Source organism: Homo sapiens, chromosome 18 (assembly GCF_000001405.40).
Source record: "Homo sapiens chromosome 18, GRCh38.p14 Primary Assembly".
Classification (NCBI taxonomy): Eukaryota; Metazoa; Chordata; class Mammalia; order Primates; family Hominidae; genus Homo; species Homo sapiens.
Window position 1 is genome coordinate 46568418 of NC_000018.10, and position 26414 is coordinate 46594831.

The 26414-nt window shown below is 44.1% G+C and overlaps 1 protein-coding gene across 10 annotated transcripts in view; it reads right to left on the reverse strand.

Annotated features, from left to right (window-relative positions):
* LOXHD1 (lipoxygenase homology PLAT domains 1) overlaps positions 1-26414 on the reverse strand; it is a 180260-nt gene that overhangs the window by 91457 nt on the left and 62389 nt on the right. For 8 of the 10 annotated variants that reach the window (NM_144612.7, NM_001384474.1, XM_047437290.1 and 5 more), the window contains 8 exons: positions 25914-26049; positions 25183-25343; positions 24081-24167; positions 23516-23651; positions 11213-11367; positions 9290-9450; positions 3669-3745; positions 1025-1221 (listed from right to left, as the gene is read on the reverse strand). In NM_144612.7, the coding sequence (NP_653213.6) occupies positions 1025-1221; positions 3669-3745; positions 9290-9450; positions 11213-11367; positions 23516-23651; positions 24081-24167; positions 25183-25343; positions 25914-26049 (1110 nt within the window). Of the gene's footprint in view, positions 1-1024; positions 1222-3668; positions 3746-9289; positions 9451-11212; positions 11368-23515; positions 23652-24080; positions 24168-25182; positions 25344-25913; positions 26050-26414 lie in introns of those variants that run through there. The other 2 variants (XM_047437289.1, XM_011525804.3) reach the window with 2 other exon arrangements.

Consider the following 26414-nt stretch of genomic DNA (forward strand, 5'->3'; position numbering starts at 1 on the left):
CCTATAAAGACTTGAACAAAACACTAACACAGTTTCTAACAGCTCAAGGCCACATCCCTAGAGTGACCCTAATCCCCCTTACTGTGCTTGCCTTAGAAAACTCAAGGCTGTCAAAATAATTTACTGTTGGTTCCAGCCAACACCTGAGGGTAGGGCTTCTGTCTGCCAGACTCTTGAAGGATAAGACCCTCATGCCATAAAGCATCAGTTAGCAAACCCAGATGGGTTCCACAACCCACATGTGCTGACCTCCCCATTACTGCTTTTCATGTTTTCCCCCTGACTCTACTGAGCCCTTGATTACCCTCCCCTTATTCCCTCATCCTCCCTTTAAAGAGGTTTGCAAACCTCTGCACAAACCTAAGTTGGGTTCAGTTCACACTGGCCTCTTTTCCTGATGGCAGTGGTAGATTACTGATTAAAGTCTGTCTTTGCTGCTTTACTGTTCAGCTTTCTCTTTGATGAAGTGCTTAGACCACTTGCAGCAGAGTCACCTGGAGCCTTGATCTGGAGGCTCTTGGGTTCCATCTCCCAAGACAGAATCTCTCAGGTGTGGCCCAGAAGTGTGCACTGAAACAAGCTTCCTGGCCCCAATTCTGATGCACACTCAAGTTTGAAATTGGGAAGTATTTTTAGCCCCTTTTCTTAGTCCTCCCTTCTCTTTTCCTTCCCTGCGTTCAGTCTCCTTCTCCAGTGTCTGTGACCCAGGTACATTGGTCTTGGATATGTAGGTAAATAAAATGTTGAGGCAATGCCACTAAAAATACACATTCCAGCCCCAAAGAGGCTCTGGAAGCATCACTACTGTTTACATATCTTCAGCTGCTCTAGGTCACAGCTAAAAAACTACACACCTCACTCACTATTCCCAAGTGTGCTTTTTCTCTTCAAAATGTGTTTACCCTTATGTACATGAGTGTGTGCGTGTGTGTCTGTGTGTGGACATATGTGTGTGTGGACACGTGTGAATGTGTGTTCGGAAATGGGTGGGATGATGTCACATGGTCTTGGGAAGGAGACTTACATTTCCAATGTTCAGGGTCTCGAGGGTGAACTCATCCACCCGGCCACGTTCAAAGTAGTCTTTGAGGTTGTTGTCAGAGACAAGAAGAACTTGCTTGATGGTGTCAGATTTATCCCCATAGAGCTTGATGTAGACTCTAGAATCCGTGCTGGCCCCAGAGACATCCCCAGTCTTCAAGCTGATGTGATAGCGAAAGTCTGAACAGCCCAAGGCAGAGGGAGGAAGGGAAGGGGTTAGTGCAGGGGGTGACAGGAAGCAGGGTGCGTGTATAGGAGGGCAGCCTGGAGCTGGAGGTTTGTGGGGAACACACGCTGGGAATTGAAAATCCAGGCTCCTGTTCTAAGCAGCCCTGCAACTTGGGGCAGGGGTTCCTTCCATCTCTGTGAGGTCTCCTCAACTGTAATGGCAGAATTCTAGTAGGTTCTCTGTCTGCTCCAGAAGGTGTGAATGGGCTTAGAGCAGGAAAGCGTGTAAATCACAAGCAAGAACATCAAAACATAAGAGCCTGAAAGGATTTCCCACAATCATCTGGTCTAGCTTCTCTGACAGTGGACAAGGAAACTGAGACAAAGGAAGGATCAACCTTTCCAGACAGTGTCTAGAGCATTATACACATGGTATTATTGCTAAGGATTCTGACCCCAGTTTCACAGGCAAGGAATCTGAGCCTCAGAATGTCATGTGTTTGGTGCAAGATGGCAACAGTTAAGAGGTCGCCAGGAGTGAAACTCTCATGTGGACTTGAAACCCCCTGCTCTTCACTGGGCCACCACGAGGGTGTCACTCCATTTTATCAGCCAGGAATGTCTGCATTATCGGTCTTCAGGGACAAAAACACCCGAGGAAAAGGTGAGTCCTGGAATAATACAAGGCAAGACCCCAAGTCCTCCAGGCTTGTTCCTGGGTGTGTGTCTTGGGCAAAGAGGAGGAAGCACTGGAAAGGTGAGTGATGCTCACTCCCAGGCCTGCCACTCACTGACACCGTAGGGTCCTCCCACTAGGCAGAAGGATTTGGAGAAAGTCAGCTGAGCACACCTTGCCTAGGGACCAGCCCTGGAGAAGGCCAGACCTGCAGGTCTGCTCCAGATCAGCTCCATTAGTGCCACCCAAGGGCACTTGAGGAAATGGCCTCTATTCTTGCTGAAAGATGTAGCAGCAGAGACTGGGAAGGAGACCTCTTTCTTGTACTATTTTCCATCTCAACCAGGGGTGTTCAATCTTTTGGTTTCCCTGGGCCACACTGGAAGAAGAAGAATTGTCTTGGGCCACACAAAAAATACACTAATACAAATGATAGCTGATGAGTTAAAAAAATTGCAAAAAAGTTTTATGTTTTAAGAAAGTTTACAAATTTGTGTTGGGCCACATTCAAAGCCGTCGTGGGCCACATGCGTGCGGGCTGTGGGTTGGACAAGCTTGATCTAAACGCTTTCAGACGCTCTGACTGAGGAAGCAGGGGGTCAGGAGGTCCTGTCCACATGGTGAAATAGGGGCTTGCTGGACTGGGAAGGACAGTGACATAGACAGAGATACCCTGGGTACTGGTCCCAGCCCCATCACTGACTACACAACTGGGTTTGCTGGGGTTGTGGAGGGGGAATAGGGGTCCTTTTGCCACAGGCATCTTATCTCCTGGGATCCTTCCCAGATCTTAAATTCTGTAATTCTGAGACCAGAAATGGGACACTCTAGTTCAAAGTCAGCAGTCTGACCTTAGAAGAGGTCAGATACAAATATCTTTAGCTGCCGGGTGCCGTGGCTCATGCCTCTAATCCCAGCACTTTGGGTGGCCAAGGTGGGTGGATCATTTGAACCCAGGAGTTTGAGACCAGCCTGGACAACATAAAGAGACCCCATCTGTAGAAAAAAAATATAAAAATTAGCCAGGTGTGGTGATGTACACCTATTGCCCTAGCTACTCAGGAGGCTGAGACAGGAGGATCACCTGAGCCTAGGAGGCTGAGGCTGCAATGAGCCAAAATCACACCACTGCACTCCAGCCTCGTTGACAGAGTAAGACCCTGTTTCAAAAATAAACAAATAAACAAAAATAAAAATATCTTCAGCTCTTCCGGTTCTAAGTTTCTCCATCTGACCCATGGACAACATCAACCCTGACCATCTTCTGGGATTATTGCAGAGCTCAAATGAGATAATAAATGACAAACATGAGGTGTTGGTAATGTCAAGGATTCTAGAGATAAGTTTCTTTTAATTTTGTCTAAAGCTCATGATCAAACCAAAGCAATGGAAGAAATGTCACCAGTAAGGAAAACTCTAAGGCCTCCAAGATGATACTTGGCATTTTTAAAGTCCCTATTTTACAGTCCCTTCAAAATATTTCTCTTCTTAAGGCCTGAATGACAGGTACTGCCAATGCTTGGCACCATTGGCCAGCATTACTGCTCATCACTCTCGTTGACCCATATGCATTCAGGGCCTCACACCTGAGGCCACAAAGAGACTGTGTGCAGGAGCACAGGCAGGAACTCTCCAGACACTCCCTCGGAGCCTCCCTCTCCTCCCTCCCCACTGCCACCTCTGTGAAACATGAAGTGCTCGTGTTTTCTTGAAGGGCTTAGCTGAGGGAAGGCCCCTGTCTCACCAAGGGCACACCCAGCACCTGGTCATCAGGACAACTCACTCTTCAGTGTCGCGCTGCTGTCACTGGGTAGCAACTCTCGGACCAGCTGCCCATCATCCTTATCCTTGTCCAACCACCTGGTGGGCAAATGGGGGAATGTTAGCTCTTTGGGTGGAGCAGGCAGACAATCAAAGCTTCACCCATTCATGCAGAGTCACTATGGAGGCCCAGAGCTTTGACTTTAGCAAAGTGAAATGATTCTATGGGAGCATCTAGCAAAACATCCTAGCCTGGAGTGGGAAAGGAGGACTTCCCGGAGGCAGTGGTGTTTGGCTGAGATTGGAAGGAGGGCAGGGAACTCCTTGGGGAATGGGTAGGATGATGTCACATGGTCTTGGGAAGGAGACCAGGAGAAAAAGGAAGAGTATCCCAGAGGAAGCAACATATCCTGGGATGGAACAGAGCCCGCAGGAGTTGAAACAGGACCATGTGGATGGGATGCAGTGAACAACAGGTAGAGAGCTGGCAGAGGAAGCTGGAGAGGGGACAGGTCACATGATATAGGGCCTTGGCAATCACTGTCAAAAGTCTGTCCTGAAAGCCATCATTAGCATAGAAAACAAGCACCTCTTTTTCTAAGAGCTTTCCATCCTCATGGCACTGTGCTGAGGGCTCTGGGGTGGGGAGATGGCAGAGAACATATGCTAGGATACGTAAGGCCCAGCCCAGGCTGTCGGCAGCCTGCTTAAGAAGACAGGATAGGCCAGGCGGGTGGATCACGAGGTCAGGAGATGAAGACCATCCTGGCTAACACAGTGAAACCCCGTCTCTACTGAAAAACAAAAAAATTAGCCAGGTGTGGTGGTGGGCGCCTGTAGTCCCAGCTACTCGGGAGGCTGAGGCAGGAGAATTGTGTGAACCCAGGAGGCGGAGCTTGCAGTGAGCAGAGATTGCGCCACTGCACTCCAGCCTGGGCGACAGGGTGAGACTCCGTCTCAAAAAAAAAAAAAAAAAAAAAAAAGACAGGATAGACCAGCTGAGGCACTGAGGACCAAGACCAGGATAGGTATTGGACCAGAGTAAGTGCTGCAAGAGTTGAGGGAAATGAGAAGGGCTCAGTGATCTGAGTCCTCAGAGATAAATGAGAATTGCCTTCCAGGAGAAGCTGGGGCTGTGCTCTGCAGGGCTGCGGTTTGATAGCTGTGACTCTTCAACATGTTGGAGTGAGCCACGGTCCCAGCTCTCGGCTGGTCATCCACCAGGCGGAAAGGTATGGGGCAATTTACCTGAAAAGCACCTATCACACTGGGCACGGAGACTCAGCCTGAGAAATCAATCATGCAAGCATGAGTTTTCTAAGCCCCAGCACTCAGGATGGTTTATGACGGGGCCCATGGCAGCAGAATAGATACCGTTCATTGTTCCCCAGGATACTGAGGAAAACAAGACATTTGTCTCTCAACCAAACCACCTCCCATTTGTCTATGTCTTGGTACTGGTTGTTGCAGCCCACTCCATTACCCTACTGAGAGGGAGGCAACTCCCTGGCTACAGAGCCTGTAAAAGAAGCCAAGACACTAATTCCTCCATAGCCTCCCTGGCATGGAGTTCAGGCATCCCCAAACTGCAATACTCTCTGCTAATAGACCACCCCTCTCCCCAAGGCTGACGGAGGCAATGCTGTGGTCTCTCCCAAACCTTCTCTTACATCCTCCTTCCCAAAACACAAGATCTGACATTCCCATGAGACCTTGCTCTCAGTTGGCTATTAGCTAACACTAAAATGTTAGACGACAACTAGGCTGTTATTTTTCCCAAGGGCTTTGGTGCTGTGAATCTAGAACATAAGAAAACCATTGGAGACTCCAAGACATGAGCATGCAATGGTGAAATCCTAGGCATTAATGACAGGGGGATTTGGGAACTCAGGGCTGCTGGAGTCCCTGAAATCAACCCGTTAACAGCCTCCCACTCCATCTGTCCAGCTGAGGTCACCCTGGCATGGAGACTGCAGAGGAGAAGGTTGAGAAGTAGGCCTGGGCAACGCATTCACAGGGCAGTGAAGTGTGGAGAGTCAGCAAGCCCTCGGCCATCTGAAAATCTTACCTGTGCTCCCTTCATTCTCCACCACTTATCCACCCCCAGGCCCTCCCCAGCAGCAAAAGGAAACCATGACTTGTCATTTTGTTTCCACCTAAATACTTTCAGGGTATTAATAGATATTTCCAAATATAGCCAGTTTCTTTCAGCTTCAAACACTTCAGCCCAGTTTCAGAGTGAGATGTTGCTAAAAGGATAAGTCAGTCTGGTGGTGATTTTATTACTCTTTCTCTGAGCTCACAGGAGTGTGTGTGTGTACACATACACACACACACACACACACACACACACACACCTGATCCTAGCAGAAATTCTGATAAATAGACCTGGTTTGTCCTCCTCTCCAACAGAGTTAAAATAACAGCTCAGGTGAAGAAAGAAGCAGTGTGCATGCTCAGGCTCCAGTTCCTGATTTTTCCAAGTCCCCTGGGTCCTGAGTTGGCAAATGCCATCACTACATGTGTCAGCAAGACATAAGAACCCATTTTCTAAAAAAAAAAAAAAAAAAATGCATGCACTGTTAAGTGTTTGGGGGCAGGGAGGACTCTGGAGTGTTTGAGGCCTCCGCTTCTCTTCCGCCCAGCCATCAGCATCATCAGCACCACTGTGTCTTTAATGGGCTCCTTTCAAAGTACAATACCCTCAACCTCACCATAAGACACATGCTGGCCAGGAAGGTGCAGAAGACCAGACAAGGGATTGGGTCAAAGTCACACAGCAGGTGGACGGCTAGACTTCTGGTTCCCAGCTCCCCCAGCACCATGCATGTGACAATGCAGTGTGCACACACCAACTTCTTCCTCTTCCCCTTTCCAGGCTCCTTCTCCTGGCCTGCCCCAGGGCTCGGCCCTCACTGTTTTCTTTATCCACACTCTCCCTAAAGGATCCCCTGCAGTTCCCTGGCTTTAAATTCTAGCTCTATGCTCTTATTCTCTGAATTCATTTCTCAAGGCCTAACTCTGCATTGAAAACCAAACACATCCCAACTAGACCTCCAGAGTCCAACCTCGTCCCCACCCCTCAGCTCTCCCTCCCCAGGATCCCCATTTCAGTAAAGGGCATGACCTTCAACCCACCTATCAAAGGCAAAAGCCTGGGGCTTTCAGTTCTGGCCCTTTCTCTGTCTCTTATGGGCAAGGCCCATGAACTGTCCCTCCAGGGTCCTCTCTGGTGTACAATAAGCCCCGTCTCACCACCTTCACTGCCACCACTAAGGGCCAAGCTGCTATGTGGTGAACTGAATTGTGTCCCCCCACCCCACCCCATTCATACATTTAAGTCCTAACCTCCGGTACCTCAGAATGTGACCTTATTTGGAAATAGGGTCATTGCAAATGTAACCAAATTAAAATAAGGTCATTAGGGTGACCCCTCATCTAATCTGACTGGTATCCTTATGAAAAGGGAAAATTTGGACACAGATATATATAGAGGAAGATGCTGTGAGGAGGCGCAGAGAGAAGGTGGCCAATCACAAGCCAGTGAACTCTGGAGGCTGCTGGGGTGAGGACATAGGCCCGGGTCAGATCCTTCCCTAGCGCCTTCTGAGGGGTGCAGCCTGGCTGACACCTTGATTTTGGACTTCTGGCCTCCGAAACTGTGAGACATTATGTTTCTGTCATTTAAGCCACCCAGTCTGTGCACTTTGTTACAGCCCTGGAACATGAACACATGCCGTCATCAACTCCCCAAAATCTCCTACTGCTCTCCCCTCCTCCCTGGGCCCTGTCCTATCCCCAGAGGCCAGACAGGCCTTCCTCGCATGCAAGAGTCTCCCTCGCCCTGCCGGACAGTGGCCTCCATCTACCTGCCTGTCTTGCTGGACTCCAGAACACTCCAGTCCTTTCCCCTGGTGCTCTCCTCTTCATTCCACAGGAGGCCAGCCTCAACATCCCTCTGCAGGCAGGCCTTTCCCATTTCTAGCCCCGGCTCCAGCCCCTGCACCGTTGTGTGTTTCCTCCACGCCACTCTTCACAGTGTGTCATTCTGGCTTTATTCACTTGCTTTTAGTCTAGTTTCCCTCTAGACTATAAACTCCATGAGGACAGGGAGTAAGTATATAGTAGGTATAAATATATTTTGAGTAGATAGGAATAAAACAATGCAAGCTCTTCCATCTGGCATCCAGCCAGTCAGCCTCTGATCCAGGATGGGGGTGAAAACGCCAGTAATGACTTGAAGCGAGGCTGTACTCTTCCCCCACACCCCGCTTCCCCCGTGGCTTAGGAGAATGAGGGTTCACACTCCACCCTCTCCCACCCCAGCCTTCTCACTCCTTCCCCACATGCCAGGCGCCCCTTGCCAACCTCTGGATGAGCCACCCCTCAGCCCCTTGCTCATGCCTCATGCCATTTCTTCAGCCTAGGTGGCCCACCCTCCCTTTTCCTCTCCCTCTGTCCACTCTCTGACCTCCCTTCCAGGCCCAGGTGCACTTCCATCTCTTCCTGGAAGCCTGCCTGGCCTGCCCTCTGTTAGTGCCACTCACTTGGAGCTGCCTGCATTATTACTTACCTTTTCAATGTAATTCCTTGTAATACAAACAGTGCTATATGTAGAAGACTGTAGAGCTCTTTGTCATTGACAAAATCTGTTTCACAATCATTGACCTATGGAGCCCTCCCAGTGGCCCTCCGTGGCTGGGAAACTACTGGGCCTGGGTTGGTGGGGTGCTAAGTAATTCAGCTGCAGCAGATGTGTGCCTGTGTGTGTGCGCCTGTAGGCACAGGCATGCATGTGAGTACATCTGCGTTCATGGTAAGAGGAAGAGCAACACACTCATTACTGGGCAGCTGTGCAACTCACCCTCATCCACTCAAAGGAGGGCTGTCCTCAGTGTAGCTACCCTTGAGGAGCCCTGGACCAGCCCTAATAAAGTGGACACATAGCAACTCATCTCTACATACAGAACTCAGCCTTGGAACTGAGATTTGCAGAGCCGGGTCAGTCCAAGGCCCCAAGTCAATCATACAGTGTGAATCCTCCAGACATTGCCACATAAAATGTGGAGAGCCACCATGATGACATGAAAAACACTGGTATTGCTCATTCTAAAATCTCTCTATCAGGGACTTCTTTAAGTCAATGGGAGCCCAAATGCTTAAGCAAAAAGAGAAAGGAAACTTTATCTCATGAATAAATTGCAGAAAGGAAAACAAGGTAAGATACCTTGAAAAGAAGTTAACAGGGAAGAGGTATGGTCAGAAAGTTATTTAAATTAAAAAAAAACTTTTGATTTAAAAGTTTAATTCAATCTGCAACTAACTCTCTGAACTAACTTTCACCTAAATTCAGGAATTGCCAAATTTTATCATGAACAAGCACCCACATTTTGTTGCTTAAATAGAGGAAACTAGCAGCACACCGGAACACACCACAGTGGTGTTCATCACGGTGGTAGGGGGTGAGAAGGGAATGTGAGGCTCAGGTCTAAGCACCACCAGCGAGGTCACCTCTTTCTTGCACCAGCTATAGCCTTAAGCCACTGTTTTGCTTGCTGGTCATGGTAGTAGGGCTGGGTCTTCCCAAAACACAGGGATCATAACCTAAGCTGGAGAAAACACCAGCAGGCAGGACGCATGTACCTGAGACATGGGAACTCCACGTTGTCGCTCTCAGGCTGCCCCTCCTCTCTCACCAGCACTCTGTCCAGGTACCAGCCGCTGCCGGAGCCTTTGCCATCGTGTCTGATCCTCACCCGCCTCACATTCCGCATGGTGACAGACTCGATAGTGAACTCGTCAGCCTTGTGGGGGGAAACCACAAGGCCAGTTAGACAGTGGCTACCCCAGGACCCAAACACCAAGGGAAGACATAAGCTCAGATATCAGAAAATCCAGAGCTGATGGGTTAGGCAACTCCTCTTTCACACATGGGACAGGAGCTACCTATAAAGCACAGCTCACACCCACCCCCAATTTCTTCCACTGGAATATCATCCAATGTCAAGTTTCCAGCTCTCCTTTCAAAAGGCAGCTTCCTCTGGGAAAATAAACAAGTTAAGCTGTTGTCAGTCACCAATCATTTATCATGAGCTAATTCCTTGGCAAATCTCCTCTGGCTCCTTGCTCTAGAGGGATACTGGGCCCCTTCCAAGGAGGGAAATGATTAGAATTGATTACGGGGACTAAGTAGCCTTGCTAATTGTATAGTTTTGCTCACCACTGAGGCAGCATAACAGTAGGGGCAACAGAGTTTCCAAGTGTACATGAGCACACCTGGGAGCCTTCAGGGACAGAAACACTGAAGGTGGGATTGATGGACAAAGGCGTCAGAAGATGTAGGAGTAAAGAGTAGGGAAGGCTGGAGAGAAAGGTGGGTGGGTGGGAAGGAGAGAGGAAATTTAAAAAGCTATGTGAAGTAAAGGCATCGCTACCTCCTCTCCTCAAATGAACCTGAGTCCACCCACAACATCCTGCTCAGATTATTTTTTGCCACTGCAGCCTTCAAATGGCCATGATCCCAAGAATCGAGCCAGCCTGGATTGGCCTCAGAGAGAGGCCTTCACTGGAATTCCAGGGCTTTCCCTGACCTCACCAAGGAAGTCGTGGCAGAGGAAGGAGATAGAGCAGTTGTCTGCAAATCCCCTTCACCCTGCTGAGCTCCCTTGGCCTCACTTCACTGCAACAACGACTCTGTACTCAGCATCCACTGTGTGCTGTGGGCCAGATCTGACCTCAGAGACGGTACATCCACTGCCCCTAATGCTCACAACAGCCCACCACAGGTAGGCATCCTTTCCCCATTTCAGGCATGAGGAAACTGAGGCTCAGGAGAATGAAGCAGGTAGCCCAAGGCTGGGTTTGCCTCAAACTTGCCTAGCTCTTTCCCCACTGCTTCCACAGCCTCCTCCCCAGAACACCCATGTGATGGCTGGGGAAACAGGGGGAACACCCAACACAACTGTAATGAGGCTAGCAACAGAAGCAAGTTCTCCCACCCCATCTTTAGGGTCTTTCTTGATTTCTCTTTCCTAAAGGTCATGAACAAGATGCCTGCAATGGTCATGCCATAGGGGAGAATGCCAAGTTCCCACATTGGCCCCTGGGGGCCCAGCTTTCTCCAGCCCAGGTCCTCTAGTCCACAGTGCCCGGCATCTTTCCCTCTCCGCCCACCCCTGAGGTAAGAAAGATGCTGCTGCTGCTTCCCAGTGTCCTTCTGTTCTGCTCTCTTCTCAAAGCTCAGGGGTGGGGGAGAACCATAATCCCTCTAAGGTGGCTCTTCAACTCCCTGCTGTACAGTCCCAGGAGTCCAACAGGTGTCCATGCATATTAGTGAATCAGGGCGGGCCAGATACTCAGGAACCAAATACACTAGGCATTGCTGTGCCCTCCCAGTGGCTCTGCTGGGATTCCCCAGTTCCCCGCCCCCTTACCCAGAGTGAGGCTCCTGATGGCTGAGGCCCCAGGACCAGCATCAGCTCAACTTTAACAGGGCAGGGAAGACGAGGGAACATGGGAAGGGAACTGGGAGGAAGGGGATGAGTGGGGCACATTGCTGTAACTTACATTGCCCTTTTCAAACAGGTCTGTGTTATTCCTGCAGTTGTAGAGCAGCCGTTCCCCCGTGTCCCCCACATCACCAAAAAGGCAGAGATAGACGTTGGCATCGGTCCCAGCACCTTCAAGTTCACCTGTGCACACAGTCACATGGTACCGGGCCACTGGCAGGCAGAGAGAGGGACATCATTGCTGACAGCCCCCTGCTTCCCATCCCTAGCCCTGCTGCTCCCACTTCTAAGCTCTGATTCCTCCTCTCCTTCTAGTTCTCATCTGGGCTGACCTTCCCCCTTCCTCCCAACTATCTAAATCCTACCACACACCAATCAAGAGCTGAGTCATCCCCAAGTCTCTTGGCCTAGGCCCTTGGTCATTATAGGTATATGGATTCCATTTAAATCCATGGGATCAAATGAGACAGACCAGAGGTTCCCAATCCTGTCAATTATCAGTATCCTCTGGGAAACTTTTATAAGAATTCAGATTCCTGAGCCCTGCTTCAGGTTTCTCAACTCTGAATTTCCAGAGCTCAGTCTACTAAACGTGAATTGCTTCCAAGCTTTCTTGGGGGACTCTGATGGAGCTGGCCAGTGCTTGGGGACCACTGGTCTAACCCAAACATGTTTGCCCTCAATTCCATCCATCCCAGTAAACCTTTTGCCTTAGGTTGTTCTCCAACTTCTATGTGTTCTCAAGAAAGATAACTTTTCTCCATGAACAAGAATTGTGTCTTCTCTTCAGAACTCCCACTGATAAGGACATGCCAGTAAGCAGAGAGAAAGGCATGAAATGCAGTCACTGTGGGAAGGGCAGCAACTTCTTCCCATGTTGAAAATGTACTGTGGAGGGGGTAGACCTGCATCCCTGCATGCCCAGCCCTCCTTCTCACTTAAAGTAAGCTGAAAAGTAAAATGTACCCATTCACTCACTTATTCACCCCAAATCGGTTTACTGAAGCCTAGTAGGTGCCAGGCACCATTAACAGTACAGGAATTCTGATATTAGAGTTAAGAGTAAAAGTAGAGAGGAGCAATGCAAAGTAAAATCATAAATTATGAATAAGAAAATGTTTTTGTTATATCTGTAACTAAGATAACACAGTGGAGGGACATCTTGGAGTGGTAAGGAGTGGAGTGAGGGAATATAAATTATTTAGAGATGCAGAAAAGGTGACTGCAAAGAGGTAATGTGTGAGCTATAAAGTTAGATAATTCTGGCAAGTGCAAAGGCCCCTGTGTGTGGATGCCTGATGTATGTTCCAGGAGCAGAGAGAAGGCCAATATGGCTGGAGTAGAAGGAATGGGAAGGAATATGAGATAAGGCTCGGAGGTGGACAGGAGCTGGATACATGGGGTGTAGCGGGTCAAGGTAAGAAGTGTGGCTTCCTTTTTATTTTTAATTTTTATTTTTGTACAGTGGAAAGCCATTGGAGGGCTTCAAGCAAGGAAGTAACTTGATCTGGTCTATGTTTTAAAGAGCACTCTGGCTGCCATGAAGAATTGATTATATAGAAAGAAGGAGTAGAATCAAAGAGGTCAGTTAGCAGAATAATTACAGTAGTCTAGAAGAGAGGATGGTGCCTAGGACTGGAGGTGCAACAGAAGTGGAGAAAAGTCAACAGATTAGCAATATAGTTTGGATGCTAAGTCTAAAATGTACTGTTTTGGACAAAATAGTTCTTGGTGATGGATCAGATAGGTAACTGCAGAAAAGAGAGAAGTTGCAGGTGACTCCCAGGTTTTTGGCTTGGGCAATTAGATGGATAGAGTTGCCAATAAGGAGTAGGGGAGTCTTGGGGGAAGGATAGGTTTGGAGATGGAAATCAATGGTTCATTTGAGCTGTCTATTAGATGTTCAAAACTGAGGTCAAGATGGCAGCTGAATATGTGTCTGGAGGGTCAGGATTGGTGATATGACTTTGGTCATCATAGGTATATGGAGTCCATTTAAAGCCATGGGATCAAATGAAATACCCTATGGTGAAGATATAGACAAGGACTGAAAGAATATTTGAACAAATAATGGTCAAAACTTCCCAAATTTGATTTTAAAAGCATTAATATACACATTCAACATGTTCAACAAACTCCAAATTATGATAAATTCAAAGAGATCTACACCTAGACATATTATAGTCAAACTGTTGAGAGCCAAAGATGAAGAGAGAATCTTGAAAGGAGTAGCACAAAAGTTATTCATCACATATAAGGGATGCTCAATACAATTAACAGCTGACTTCTCATCAGAAACTATAGAGGCCAGAAAGCAGTGGGATGATATATTCAATGTGCAGATCATTAACCAAGAATTTTAAATCCACAAAAGCTACCTTTCAAGAATTAAGAAGAAATTAGGGTATTCCCAGAATATAAAATACTACAAGAATTAATCACTAGCATATCTGTCAAGAAATATTAAAGAAACCTTCATGTTAGACATTAAACAGTAACTTGAAATCACCTGATAGATAGAATAAAGAGTACCAGAAAAAGCAATGACATAAGTAAATACATAGAAAATATGCAAGTATTTTTTGTTTGTGAATCTTTTCTTCTCATATCTCATATTACTGCATAAAGCAGTAAATATAGAGCTGCACCACTAGTGAGTTTATAATATGTAAAGATGCAATTTATATTACAATAATAGCATGAAGGAAGGGGAAGAGAACAAACCTATATTGGAACAAAGTTTTTGTATACTACTGAAATTGTTAATATTAATCTGAACTAGATTATTTTAAATTAAGATGGTAATTGTAATTTTCTGGGCAACCACTAAGAAAATCACCCCAAAAATATGATTAAAAAAACAATGAGGGACCAAAAATGGTACTCTGTAAAAAATATAAAAGCAGTAAAGAAAGCAGTAAGAATATAAAAATGTATAAGACATATAAGTAGTAAGAAACAAAAAAGATATGACATACAAAATATAGTTAGCAAAATGGCAAATGTCAATCTGAACATATCAGTAATTGCATTAAATGTATTACATTAAATTTAATTAGACTAAACATTTCCATCAAAAGCCGGAGTGTGGTGGCCATTCTGCAGAAACAGGGTGAATCCACCCACCCCAAATTTGCTCAGCTATCAAGGCTGATGATACTACACATACATTAAGAGCCAGATTCTATTATTTACATAATGAGGAGTTCTTGGGAGAGCTTGGCAGGCTCTTGAGCAGGTCCAATAATAGCTTGGGACAGCAGGGAGATTAGGATTTTATGGTGGTTAGGGAGTGAGACTGAGGTGGTGGTTCCTATGAATGATCAGGGCTTGTATGGCTTAAACTTTCCACCAGTGTTAAGGAAGGCTTTCTTATCAGCTGGCCTATAAATGAGGCAAAAAGGAAGACAGGAGTAGTGTAGTTTAAAACCTGCCAGTAGTCAAACATCAAAACGGAATCAGACTCTGTTACACAGAGATTGGCAAAATGGATAATGGATCTAACTATCTTCTATCAACAAAATACACATTTTTCTATTCAAAGTCACAAAAAGGGTGAAAATAAAAAGATTACCCATAAAACTGGCTCAAGAAAAAATAGACAATCTAAATAGACATATAAAAAGTGAAAAGATTGATTAAACTGCTAGAAGAAAACAGAGGAAATTCTTCACAACTTTAGGCTGGGCAAGAATTCTTTAAGACTTCAAAAGCATAGGCAGAAAAAGCAAAAATAGACAAATAATATTACGTCAAACTTTTGCCCAAACAAAAACTTTTGCACAGCAAAGACAACTATTAGCAGAATGAAGATACAACATACATAATAAAAGAAAATATTTGCAAATTATACATCTGACAAGGGGTTAATATTTAGAATATATAAGAAAATTAAATGACTCAACAGCAAAAACAAACAAGCAAACTAATAACTCGATTAAGAAATTGGCTAAAGACCTTAACAGACATTTCTCAAAAGAAGACATACAAATGGTTTAACAGACAGATGAAAAAAAAAGTTCAACATCACTAATCATCAGGGAAATGCAAATCGAAACCATAGTGAAATATACCATCTTGCTCTAGTTAGAATGGCCATCATCAAAAAAACAAAAGAAGTGTTGGCAAGGATGCAGAGAAAAGGGAACACTTGCACACTATGGGTAAGAGTGCAAACTAGTATGGCCATTATGAAAAACAGTATGGAGATTCCTCAAAAAAGTTAAAAATAGAAGAACCACATGATCCAATAATCCCATTACTGGGTATATATCCAAAAAAAAAAAATGAAAACAGTATGTTGACAAGATATCTGTACTCTCATGTTTATTGCATCATCACTACTTACAATAGCCAAGATATAGAATCAACCTAAGTGTCCAACAATGGATGAACGGATAAAGAAAATATGGTATACATACACAATGCAATACGATTCAGCCACAAAAAAAGGAATAAAATCCTGTCACTTGCAACAACATAGATGAACCTGGAGAACATCAGGTTAAGTGAAATAAGCCAGACGCAGAAAGACCAATACCAGTGATTTCACCCATGTGGAATATTTTAAAAAAAAGAGAGAGAGAGATAAGTCGATGTCATAGAGGCAGGGAATTGAATAATATTTTTACAAGAGTAGTTACAAGAGACTGGGGAAAGGAGGGGGGAGGAGAGGATGGGGAGAAGTTGATCAATGGGTACAAAGTTACAATTAAATGAGAGGAATAAGTTCTGATGTTCTATTATACAGTATAATGACTATAGTTAACAATAAAGACTTGTATATCACAAAATAGCTAGAAGAAATGCTTTTGAACATTCTCACCATAAAGAAATGATAAATGCATGAGGTGATGGATAGGCTAACAACACTGATTGGATCATGATACAACATAAATTTGTCTCAAAATGTTAAATTGTACTCCATAAATACATACAATTACAATATGTCCATTAAAAATAAAATTCCAAATCTTTTAAGTGAAAAGATGAATTAGTAATTTAAAAAAAACCTAGCCAGAAAGAAAAGCCTATGCCCAGATGTTTTTATTACTGAATTCTATCAAACACTCAGAGAAGAAATAATACTAATACTTCTCCAACTCTTCCAAAAATAGAAGAGGAGGGAACATTTCCCAACTCATTTTCTGAGGCCAGCATTACCCTGGTACCAAAACTGACAAAGACGTCATAAGAAAACTACAGACCAATATCTCTTATGAATATGGATGCAAAAATCTTCAACAAAATATTCACAAAAAGAATCCAGCGACATATCAAAAGAATTATACATCATGACAATGTAGGATTTATCCCAGAGATACAAATTGGCTTAACTGCTGAAAATCAATTAATGTAATTTATCAAATTAATAGAATAAAAAGCAAAAATCACATTATTATCTCAATAAATGTAGAAAAAGCATTTGACAAAATCTAACACCCTTTCATGATTAAAAAAACCCATCAACAAACTAGGAATGAAAAGGAAATTCATCAACCCATAAACGTTAGCTATAAAACACCCACAGCTAACATCATAGTTAATCATGAAAGACTGGACAGGACACTTTCCCCTTAAGATCAGAAACGAGTCATCTCTTGTATTCAATGTGGTGCTGGAGATTTCAGCCAAGGCAAGTAGGCAAGCAAATATATAAAAAGATCTAAATTGGAAAGGAAGAAGTATCTTATTCATGGGTGACATAACTATGTATTTATAAAATCATAAGGAATTCACTAAAAAACTATTAGAATAAATGACTTCAGCAAAGTTGTAGAGTACAAGATCAATATACCAAAATCGACTATATTTCTATTCTTTTGCAATGAATAGTCTGAAAGTGAAATTAAGACAACAGTTCTATTTGCAACAGCATCAAAAAGAATAAAATATTTAGAAGTAAATTTAAGAAAACAAGTGAAAAACATACACTCTGGAAACCACAAAATATTTTTGAAAGAAAATAGAGATCTAAATAAATGGAAAAACATCTCATGTTCATGAATTGGAAGACCTAACATTATTAAGATGGCAATACTCCCCAAACTGGTCTATAGATTCAATGTAGCCCCTAACAGAACTCAGCTGACTTATTTGTAGAAATTGACAAGCTGATTCTAAAATTCATATAGAACTGCAAGGGACCCAGAATAGCCAAAACAACCCTGAGAATGAATAATCAAGGAGAAGAACAAGTGTTGACAAGGATGTAGAAAAATTGGAACTCTCACACATTACTAATAAGAATTTAAAATGGTACAGCTATTTTGATAGTTTGGCAGTTTCTCAAAAAGTGAACCAAAGAGCTACCAAATGACCCAGCAAATTCACTCTTAGGTATATGCTCAAGAGAACTGAAAATATGTCTGCATAAAAACTTGTACATGGATGTTTATGGCAGCATTATTTACATAACCAAAAAGTAGAAACAACATAAATGCTCTTTAACAGTTGAATTTGGTACATCGATACAATGGACTATATTATTCAGCAATAAAAAGAACGGAGTACTGATAATGCTACAATATGGATGAATCTTGAAAACATTATGTTAATTGAAATAAACTAAATTTAAAAAGGTCACATATTGTATGACTCTATATATGAAATATCCAGATTAGGCCAATCTGTGGAGACAAAAAGTAGATTAGTGGTTGTCAGAGGCAGAGGGGTAAAGTGGGGAAATGGGAATGACTGCTAACGGGTATGGGTTTTCTTTTTGGGGGAGATGAAAGTGTTCTGGAATTTGATAGTGGTGATGGATGCACGATTTTATTAATATACTAAAAGCCATTGACTTGTACACTTTAAATGGGTAAATTGTATGGCACATGAATCATATCTTAATATAGCTGTTGTTTTTTTTGTTTGTTTTGTTTGTTTGTTTCTGAGAAGGAATTTTGTTCTTGTTGCCCAGGCTGGAGTGCAATGGCGCGATCTCCGCTCACTGCAATCTCCGCCTCCTGGGTTCAAGCAATTCTCTTGCCTCAGCCTCCCGAGTAACTGGGATTACAGGTACCTGCGACCATGCCTGGCTAATTTTTTTGTATTTTTAGTAGAGATGGGGTTTCACCATGTAGGCCAAGCTGGTCTCGAACTCCTGACCTCAGATGATCCACCCATCTTGGACTCCCAAAGTGCTAGGATTACAGGCATGAGCCACTGCGTCCCGCCATAGCTGTTGTTTTTAAAAATGGACATGATTCATTGATAGTCCATCTAAAATGAAGACAAAGTATACCTGGAATGAGACAAATCACCAAGAAGGTGAATTCAGTGTACAAATTATTTTTTCAGTAATATGACCATTTTATTTGGAGATATGCAGACAGCTGAAAAAATAATTTGACCATGAAACATATGAGTACACAAAGATAGAGTGTCTGTGGCAAAAGCACTTGTTAGAAGAACAGGCAAAGAACGACTGATTGTACATAGAGGCCTGCCTTGAGCAAAGCTGGTATAGGTAGGCACTTAAACCATGAGTTAAGATTGAGGAGAAATCTCCTGCCTACCAATATTGTCTCCTCATAGGGCCACAGCACCTGAAATTTAACCATCATTGTCTTCTCTAATCAACTCGTTTAAAATTCAAATACTAAATGCTTTCAATCTTCAGCCTTTGTATAAATGAAGTTGGTTCTTTTGTGTGAAGCTCTGAATGGTCCAACGTATCAACAGTGAGAGGAAAGAACAGCTGAGGACTGAAGGTGGAAACATGACACAGCAGGGAAGGAAAGCTCTCAACACCAGCCTGGCTTCACTCTTAATTATGATGAAGGCCAGTTCTGCTTTTTTAGCTGTAACTTTCAGGCAATTCCCAGAAGCAAAATGATAAGGGAATTTAGAAATCCTTTTGCCTGGGAATTCCCATCCCTTTGGTTCTGAGCTCTGAGGTCCCTTTGGTTGGAAGTTCTCAAGGGTCTTGATTCTCTCTAGGAGCCCCTCTGAAACACCCCAGCCATGGATGTCCCGAGCTCCTTCCTGGCAAGAAGTCTGTGGACAATTTAAAATAGTTATATTGTTAGATACCAGTAGTGAAAGACTTTAAAGAGATGGGTAAGTACAGAGCCTCTTTACTTTAATTTTAAAATTACAGCTCTGATTAACGAGAAGCTACGATTTTCTGCACTTGAGTCCAGTGGCCTCTTGCCCACTCATCAGTGGTGTGTAATCACTTCTCTTGGAAGTACAGTGGAGAACACGGATCTCATTTATTTTACTGTCATGTAGCTCCTGAGGGACAGCCAAGGTGGAAATAAATTGTGAGCTGGCATGTGTATTGTCCATATCTCCCAGTCTGTGTTAATCAGAACAATCACTCCCAAAAGCCTCTTGGCTCTCAGACATGGCATTAATTGCTTATTTGGCTGGCCCTTAATTTGTAAGTAAACCAGAGACACACAACTTCAAACTCAGAGAAATTATTTTAAATTGGTATTTACTCATTTTACGTGAGTCTAAGACTCTCCTCTTAAGGGATTTCCAGGACGTCTTTACACATTATACATTTCACACTGGTACCAGCTGGGAAAACGAAGCATTGTCACCAGCTCTATTTATTGTTAGAAAACATTCCAACCAGAAAAGGAGATATGAGTACTTGTAGAGGTGAGTGAGGACATAGGGGTGTTCCAAGCATAAGATAAATGTTTGTGGGCCATAAAGAGCAGTTGAGAGAAAGAAATTCAAGTTTGTTTGGGCTCTGAAATATAGCCAGGGACCCCCGGAAGACATCAAACTGCCTTATAGCCACAACAGACAGCCCTTCAATCCATACTATCCATATCCATACTATCACCAGAATTATTTTTCTCCTTGAAATGATTTTTTAATAGCATCACAGAAGACAACAAAAAAACACCAGCTAGGATAGCCCCACAATTGTACACTGTTAAAAATGTGTACGAGCACATTTTATACATGTAACCTGTAGAGATGCTCTTCCTTGCCATCTCCTCCACCTCCTGACATGGTCTCTCCTTGTCTGTCAAATCCCTCCACATAGAAGACCTAGCTCAAATGTCACTTCATCTGCAAAATTTGTCCCAACTTTCTGGACAGGAAGCTTATCTCACCACTGTGTTTCCACAGCATTCACACTTCAAGACCTGCCAGTTCCACCTTCAAAATATTTCTTAAATTTATCTTCTCCTCTCTGGTGTCCTCTCTCTGTCCGATTTCAGAACCTCTTTTCCTCCCCACTGGAGGTCTGATTGTAGGTTTGTCTCTCCGTTCCATCCTCCACCCATCCACGTCAGCCCCTGACAGACCAGGAAAAATGTGGGGAGGAAGAAGTGACAGGAGGTCAAGGGTGAGGTGAAGTGTACCAAGGTCACAACAGTGCTGGGAGGGCAGGGGCTTGAGTCAGAGGGTTGGGCATGGGTTCAAAGAAGGGGCAGCTTCACGGGATGATCCCAAATTAAGTGGCAGGGAAGGGCTGGCTAAGTGGGGTGGGCATGGACCAACAAAGTGGGTGAGTGTTGGAGGCTGAAAGAATGAGGGTCGTGATCAACTCAGTATACCACTGGAGGCTATATGAGGAAACAGCAAACTGTTCTCATGAATGCAGGTTGTTGGCAAACTGACAAAGTGTGTCTGCTACCCGGAAGGAATGCTGAGGGCAGTCACGCCCCAGGAGCAGTGTTTCTTGTGATTAGGTACATCTGAAGCCTGTTAGCAATAATGCGAACCTGTGATCAATCCATCAGCTGACCAATTGTTACCTCCTCCTCCCTGCTCTTTCTACCCAATAAATACGAAGGGCTGTGAAAGGTCAAGGCCCTTGCTTGACAGAAGCAAGGAGCCCCCTGGCCCCTTCTTTAAAACAGATTCTTTTGTTTTCATTTCTTGTCCGTCCCCCTTCGTTCAGTCCTGTAGTACCCATCACAGGTGAGCACCAGGATGCAGGTGAGTGGACACTGAAAGAAGTAGACAAAGGCTCTTAAGGCTTAGTATGCATACAAATTACTTGGCATGCTTGACAAAATGCATATTACCAGGAATAGCCCTCAAAGACTCTAATCAGCATAGCTGGTGGTGGGCCTAGGAATCTGTATTTCAATAAACACTTCAGGTAGTTTTGATATAGATGGGCCCTTGACCGTACTTTAGGAGATGTTGTCTGTTATAAGCTGAATTGTGCCCATACCCCCAAATTTATATACTGAAGTCCTAACTCCCCAATAACTCAGAATGTATTTGTAGACAGGGCCTTTAAAGGAGTAAAGTAAAAGGAGGTCATATGGTTGGGGCCTAATCCCTCCTCAGTTGATGAGGAGGGAAAATAAGGTTCTTAGGGGAAAGTCATGCTTCACTCAAGGCAAAGAGGGGGTGGAAGTAAAGAACATTCTGGACATTACAAATTAAAATAGATTTCTCTCTAGAAAACCTTATCAAAATGGCAATCTACAGGTTGCTTTAAAAATTTAACTAAACAAAAAAGTTTTCACCAACAAGACTAGGGGAAGGCGACAAGTTTAGAGAACAACACAATTTTGGAAGCTGGAGAGCAGCTAGAAAAGTGGCAAATGCATTAACACAGTGGTTCTCAAAGTGTGGTTCCCCAACAGCAGCATAGATATTACCTGTAAATTTGTTAGGCAAGCAGATCCTTGAGTCCCATTCCAGACTAACTGAATTAGAAACTCTGCAAGTGGAGCCCAGGAATCCGTGTTTTAACAAGCCCTCCTGGGGATAATGCATGCTGAGGTTTGAGAATCGCTGACTTAGCAGACCGGAAAGGATTCATCAGAGCTGTCAGTCACAAAATTCAAGAAGGAATCCTACCAAAAGGCTCAAGAGTGACCGTCCAGATAATGTAGAAATAGAGACCGAGAATCTAAAATCGTGAGAGTTAGTTAAAAGGGTTTCAAAAGCAGTTACGGCCCAAGACTTCTCCCCAGTTCTTTATACCTGCAGGCTCAATTCTGGCGCACAAAGTGGACAGATCAGGTAAGAACAGGTGTATTTCTGCCTTGGTGGACTACATATCAGGTTAGTGCAAAAGTAATTGCAATTTTTGCCATTACCTTTAATATTATATTAAGTCCCAATTTTGGGAATGGGTTATATGTTATCATATTTAGATAGATGATTGCCTTGTTCCCAAGGCAGTTATTACCGAATGCAAAAAGGCAGGGTGATGATTTGGTATAGCCACTGAACCAGGAAGCAAGAGACCTTATTCTAGATTTAACTCTGTCTCTAACTAACTGTGTAACCATGGCAAGAACGTCCTCAGCTCCTTATCTGCATCAGGCTATTTTAAGGGCCTTTGCACACAAATATTCTACACAAATATTCTTCATTCTTCTTAAGAATGAAGAAGAACCATAAAATAAAAGAAACATGATGCTAATTACAAGCATTGCCTAATTAAACTAACAGAATGATCTCTTTTTAGATACTTGCTGTTTGAGGTTTCTATGTTTATGAGTATTTAACTCTGATCAAACTGTTTCAACAAATATATACAGAACTTCTACTGGGTGTGCAAATGCAGTGTTTATAAATATCACACAATCACCTGTGAAATGAGATTACGGAGATATTTAGAAGGGCTACTGGAACTATGGGTGACATTGTTTTTATATATTTTTACCTTTTTGTAATGTTGCAATACTATTTTCCTGCTTAAAATTTAAGGACTGCCACAAGGATAGCAAATGGGTTATCTTAAGTGCCATTTCTGATCAATTGTTAATGTCTGTTTGGAATTCTTTATTGAGGGCTACAAAGCTCATTTCAGACTCATGGGAGAGAATGTTTTGATCACTTAGTAATGTCTGCCATGTGAAAAGGACAGGGCATGTGCTCTGTATTTACCAGTACCGTGCTTCTATAACCTAGAGGCAAAATGACTTCTTCCCTTTGGCTATTTGAATGTGGCTCCTGGATTCCACATTTAAAGCTTAGTCCTTCTCCTGCTATCCTTAATTAGAGATAGAATACTTATTAGGTAGCAGCCAACTGGGGCTACAGGATCCCAGATCTAGCTTTTCTTTTGGGGAACATTTCATGCACAATTTGAGGGGAGCAAGAGGATATTTCCTTTCAAGGAGGCTCTGGAGAACTATTGCTCAGGGCAGATGCTTCTCATCCCCTCAGAGCCAACCTGAAGACCCATACATCTTCCCTCCCTCCCCACCACACCAATCATGGTAGAGCTCCGGCATCATGACTTGGAGATGGCTTTTCCAAGCCAGTCTTGAGGCAGGGACCTTCCAAATCCACTCTGGCACTCTAAGGGGCCTGAAGATGCAAAGCAGACAAGACTCTCAGCTCATAGGTCAGGCCCATCGGGACACCAAGCAGGAGTTCCACTGCCTCCCAGGATGGAGAGCCTGTCAGTACTTACTGCCCATGATCCTGCGCACTGTTGGGCCTTCTGCAGTCATTTCCCTCACTATCTCATTGTCATCCTCATTGGCATCCAGCCAGCGGTTGCAATTGAAGTTGTACTTGTCTTTGTTCAGAGTGTTCATCAGGGTCATCTGGAATGAAGTTCTGGGGTGAGCAAGTTGGTGCACCAGGGATGTTCACCGATGCCCTGCAGTCCCCATTCTGCTATCTCATTGCAGAGAAGCCAAGGCTATTTCCTGGAGATAATCCTTATGGCAGGCAGAGGGCCGGATTAGTATTTGTTCCTGGTTTCCTGGATACCCACACTTGCCTAGCAACCAGATGACTAGGGCAGAATGCAAGCCCCCCAAACACCTGAGCGTTTTCTTAATCTACTTCGGAAGTCTCTCCCCATTAGGAAGTCCCTGTGGCCTGTATCCAAATTCAGGTCTCACCATAACCCTTTTCAGTCCCTATTCACAATAAATACAGAGGCAAATTTATGTGACAGGGTCATTGAAAAGGGACCATCCTTGTTCCTTTCCCAACAACCTCCCAAACCCCAAGATGGTGCATCTCACCCTTTCTAAATGCCATCCAGAACCAGAACTCCTTTTATCATGCCATACTCGAATCTTATAAAACCTGCCAAGATCCGGGAGCTCAATCTATGGTGAGAAATAAAAACATTTGAGTGGGCATAACTGAAGAAATGTGTTTATTCTCATAGCTGACCCACTCTCAGGAGGGTACCTGCTTTGGGCTCTTTCTTCAGCAGTGAGGATGGGTTTGCTTCAATCAAGCCACCCTCACATATTTTATCTTCTCATGACCCTTGTAACCAGGAGCACGTGAGGGCAAGACAGCCACAGAGGGCAAGGGTTCAGTCTGGGCCGGTGAAACTGAACAAAAATAACGGCCCCACAGTGGGATTCAGACTAAAGAAGATCCTCCAAGCAATAAACTTCCAGTAACAAAATCTATAGGGCAGCCCTGCAAATTAGCACAGGCCCACAGCCCCAGGACTCTACTGGGCAGTGAAACAGACAAAAAGATCAACAAGCAGTCATGCCCTTTCTCTAGGGGCTCATAGTCTAGCAGAAAAGATAAATATATAAAGAGCAATGAACTGAGTGGTGTAACAGAGGTACCAATGGGGTGCTGAGAGGAGAGCCTCAAATTACAAATTATTCCTACCTAAAGGTTGAAATAGCACTTCCATTGGGGGAAAAAATCTTTGCTCTAGTTTTATGCATAATGGAAAGTTTTAAAGCTGAATTTTAAAAAAAGTTCTAAAATTCATACTTTTGATTAAATTTGATCCTTACTCTCTAAATCAGTCCATATTGGGCAGTCTGACACTAAGTGTTCTCAGGGTCTCTGTTCTGCAATGATTCCCCAACTCCTGGATAGTTTAAGCCATTCCATACTAACTTCTTTGCCCAGCCTTGGTTCTGGACTGTTTGATTCAGATGAATGGGCCAGATAGAAATTGTACCCCATTCAATACATTGCTTACAAATCATCAAATTTGTCTCCCTTTGCAGGGACCTAAAATCTCCATCGTACATTTTTGTCTTCAAACTTGGTCCAAAACCTGGCTTAGAGAACCAGAATCCCCAGGACGAATGCCCTACATCCCTTCCTCCTTTCTCCCTCCCATCCATCACAATCCTCTCCTACCCTAAACTTCTCGATTATGCCGGGTTTGAACCACTTGTTGTTGGGATTCAGGAGAATCTCATCTGTCCGCCCCTTCTGCCCATAAATCTGGATGAAGATGGGAGAGTTGGTACCAGCTTTCTTTAGGTCGGTTGTCCAGACCCACAGGGACCAAGGGAATTCTGTAAGACAGATCAAGTTGCACCATAAACTTCAGGAAGTGAAGAGATTTTCATATTACCATGGGGAAGAAGGAAAAATCCAAAATGATCAGGACTGAAGGGCGGGGTATACACAGGTGTGTCCCACTCTCAGAAACCCATTATAGCCAAATTTAGAAAGCTAAGGATTCCTTACTATTAAAAATAAGGTGCTATAATGTTCTTTTTAATGGCTAAAGTGTATTCGTATGTTTTAAATCGGGGAACGAGTTGACTCCACCCACCCTATGTCCAGTACTTTCAGAGTGCACTGTAGTGAACGATTCAGGTTAACACCTAGCCCATCACAGCAGCTTATTCCATTTGGTGACACTGGAGTCAGCCTTGGTGCCAGGGGTGTGACTCTATATGGCCTGTACTTTGGAGAGTGGAGCTGCTTGGCGGGGTTGGGGGAGCTTTTTCCTTCCTTTCTGGAGGAGACTTGAGAAGCAGGAGTGGACTGCCCTCATAGCTTTTGCCTAGTGGTCTGACATTCTGGCCTCTGCTGACCCTGGCTGAGAGGCCTCCAGGTTCTGGGTCTCTCTCACTTACTTTTCAGCCGCTTCTTCCTGAGAGACACCATCTCATAGAGCTGCCTCTCAATCAACCCATCCGCTTTCTTCTCATCCAGCCAGTTGCTACAAGGGAAGGTCTGCTGGATACCAGTGAAGGGGCACAGAATCACCACCTGGGGAGAGTGGAGCACAGTGTCTCCGGCATTGAGTCTCCAGTAGGGTCCTCTTCGTGATGTTCAGCAGGCTCCCAGCCCCACATTTAGAGACATCTGTATTAGGACTCTCAAGGAATGGCACCTTTTCTGTTGCCTATCTCATTAAATCTTAAATCAAGAAATGCAACCTCCAAGGAGTCTTCCAAAGTAGGTATCACCCATCTTCCAATTAGCTATTCAAATCTCAAACTTTTCCTCTATACACAACACTCTCTTTGAATACCGTATTTCTTTAAGCACATCATAAATTCTCAGTTAATCTGAACCAAATGAACTAGACTACTAGGTTAATTCCCTATAATTATCTTGTAGGAAAAAGGTAA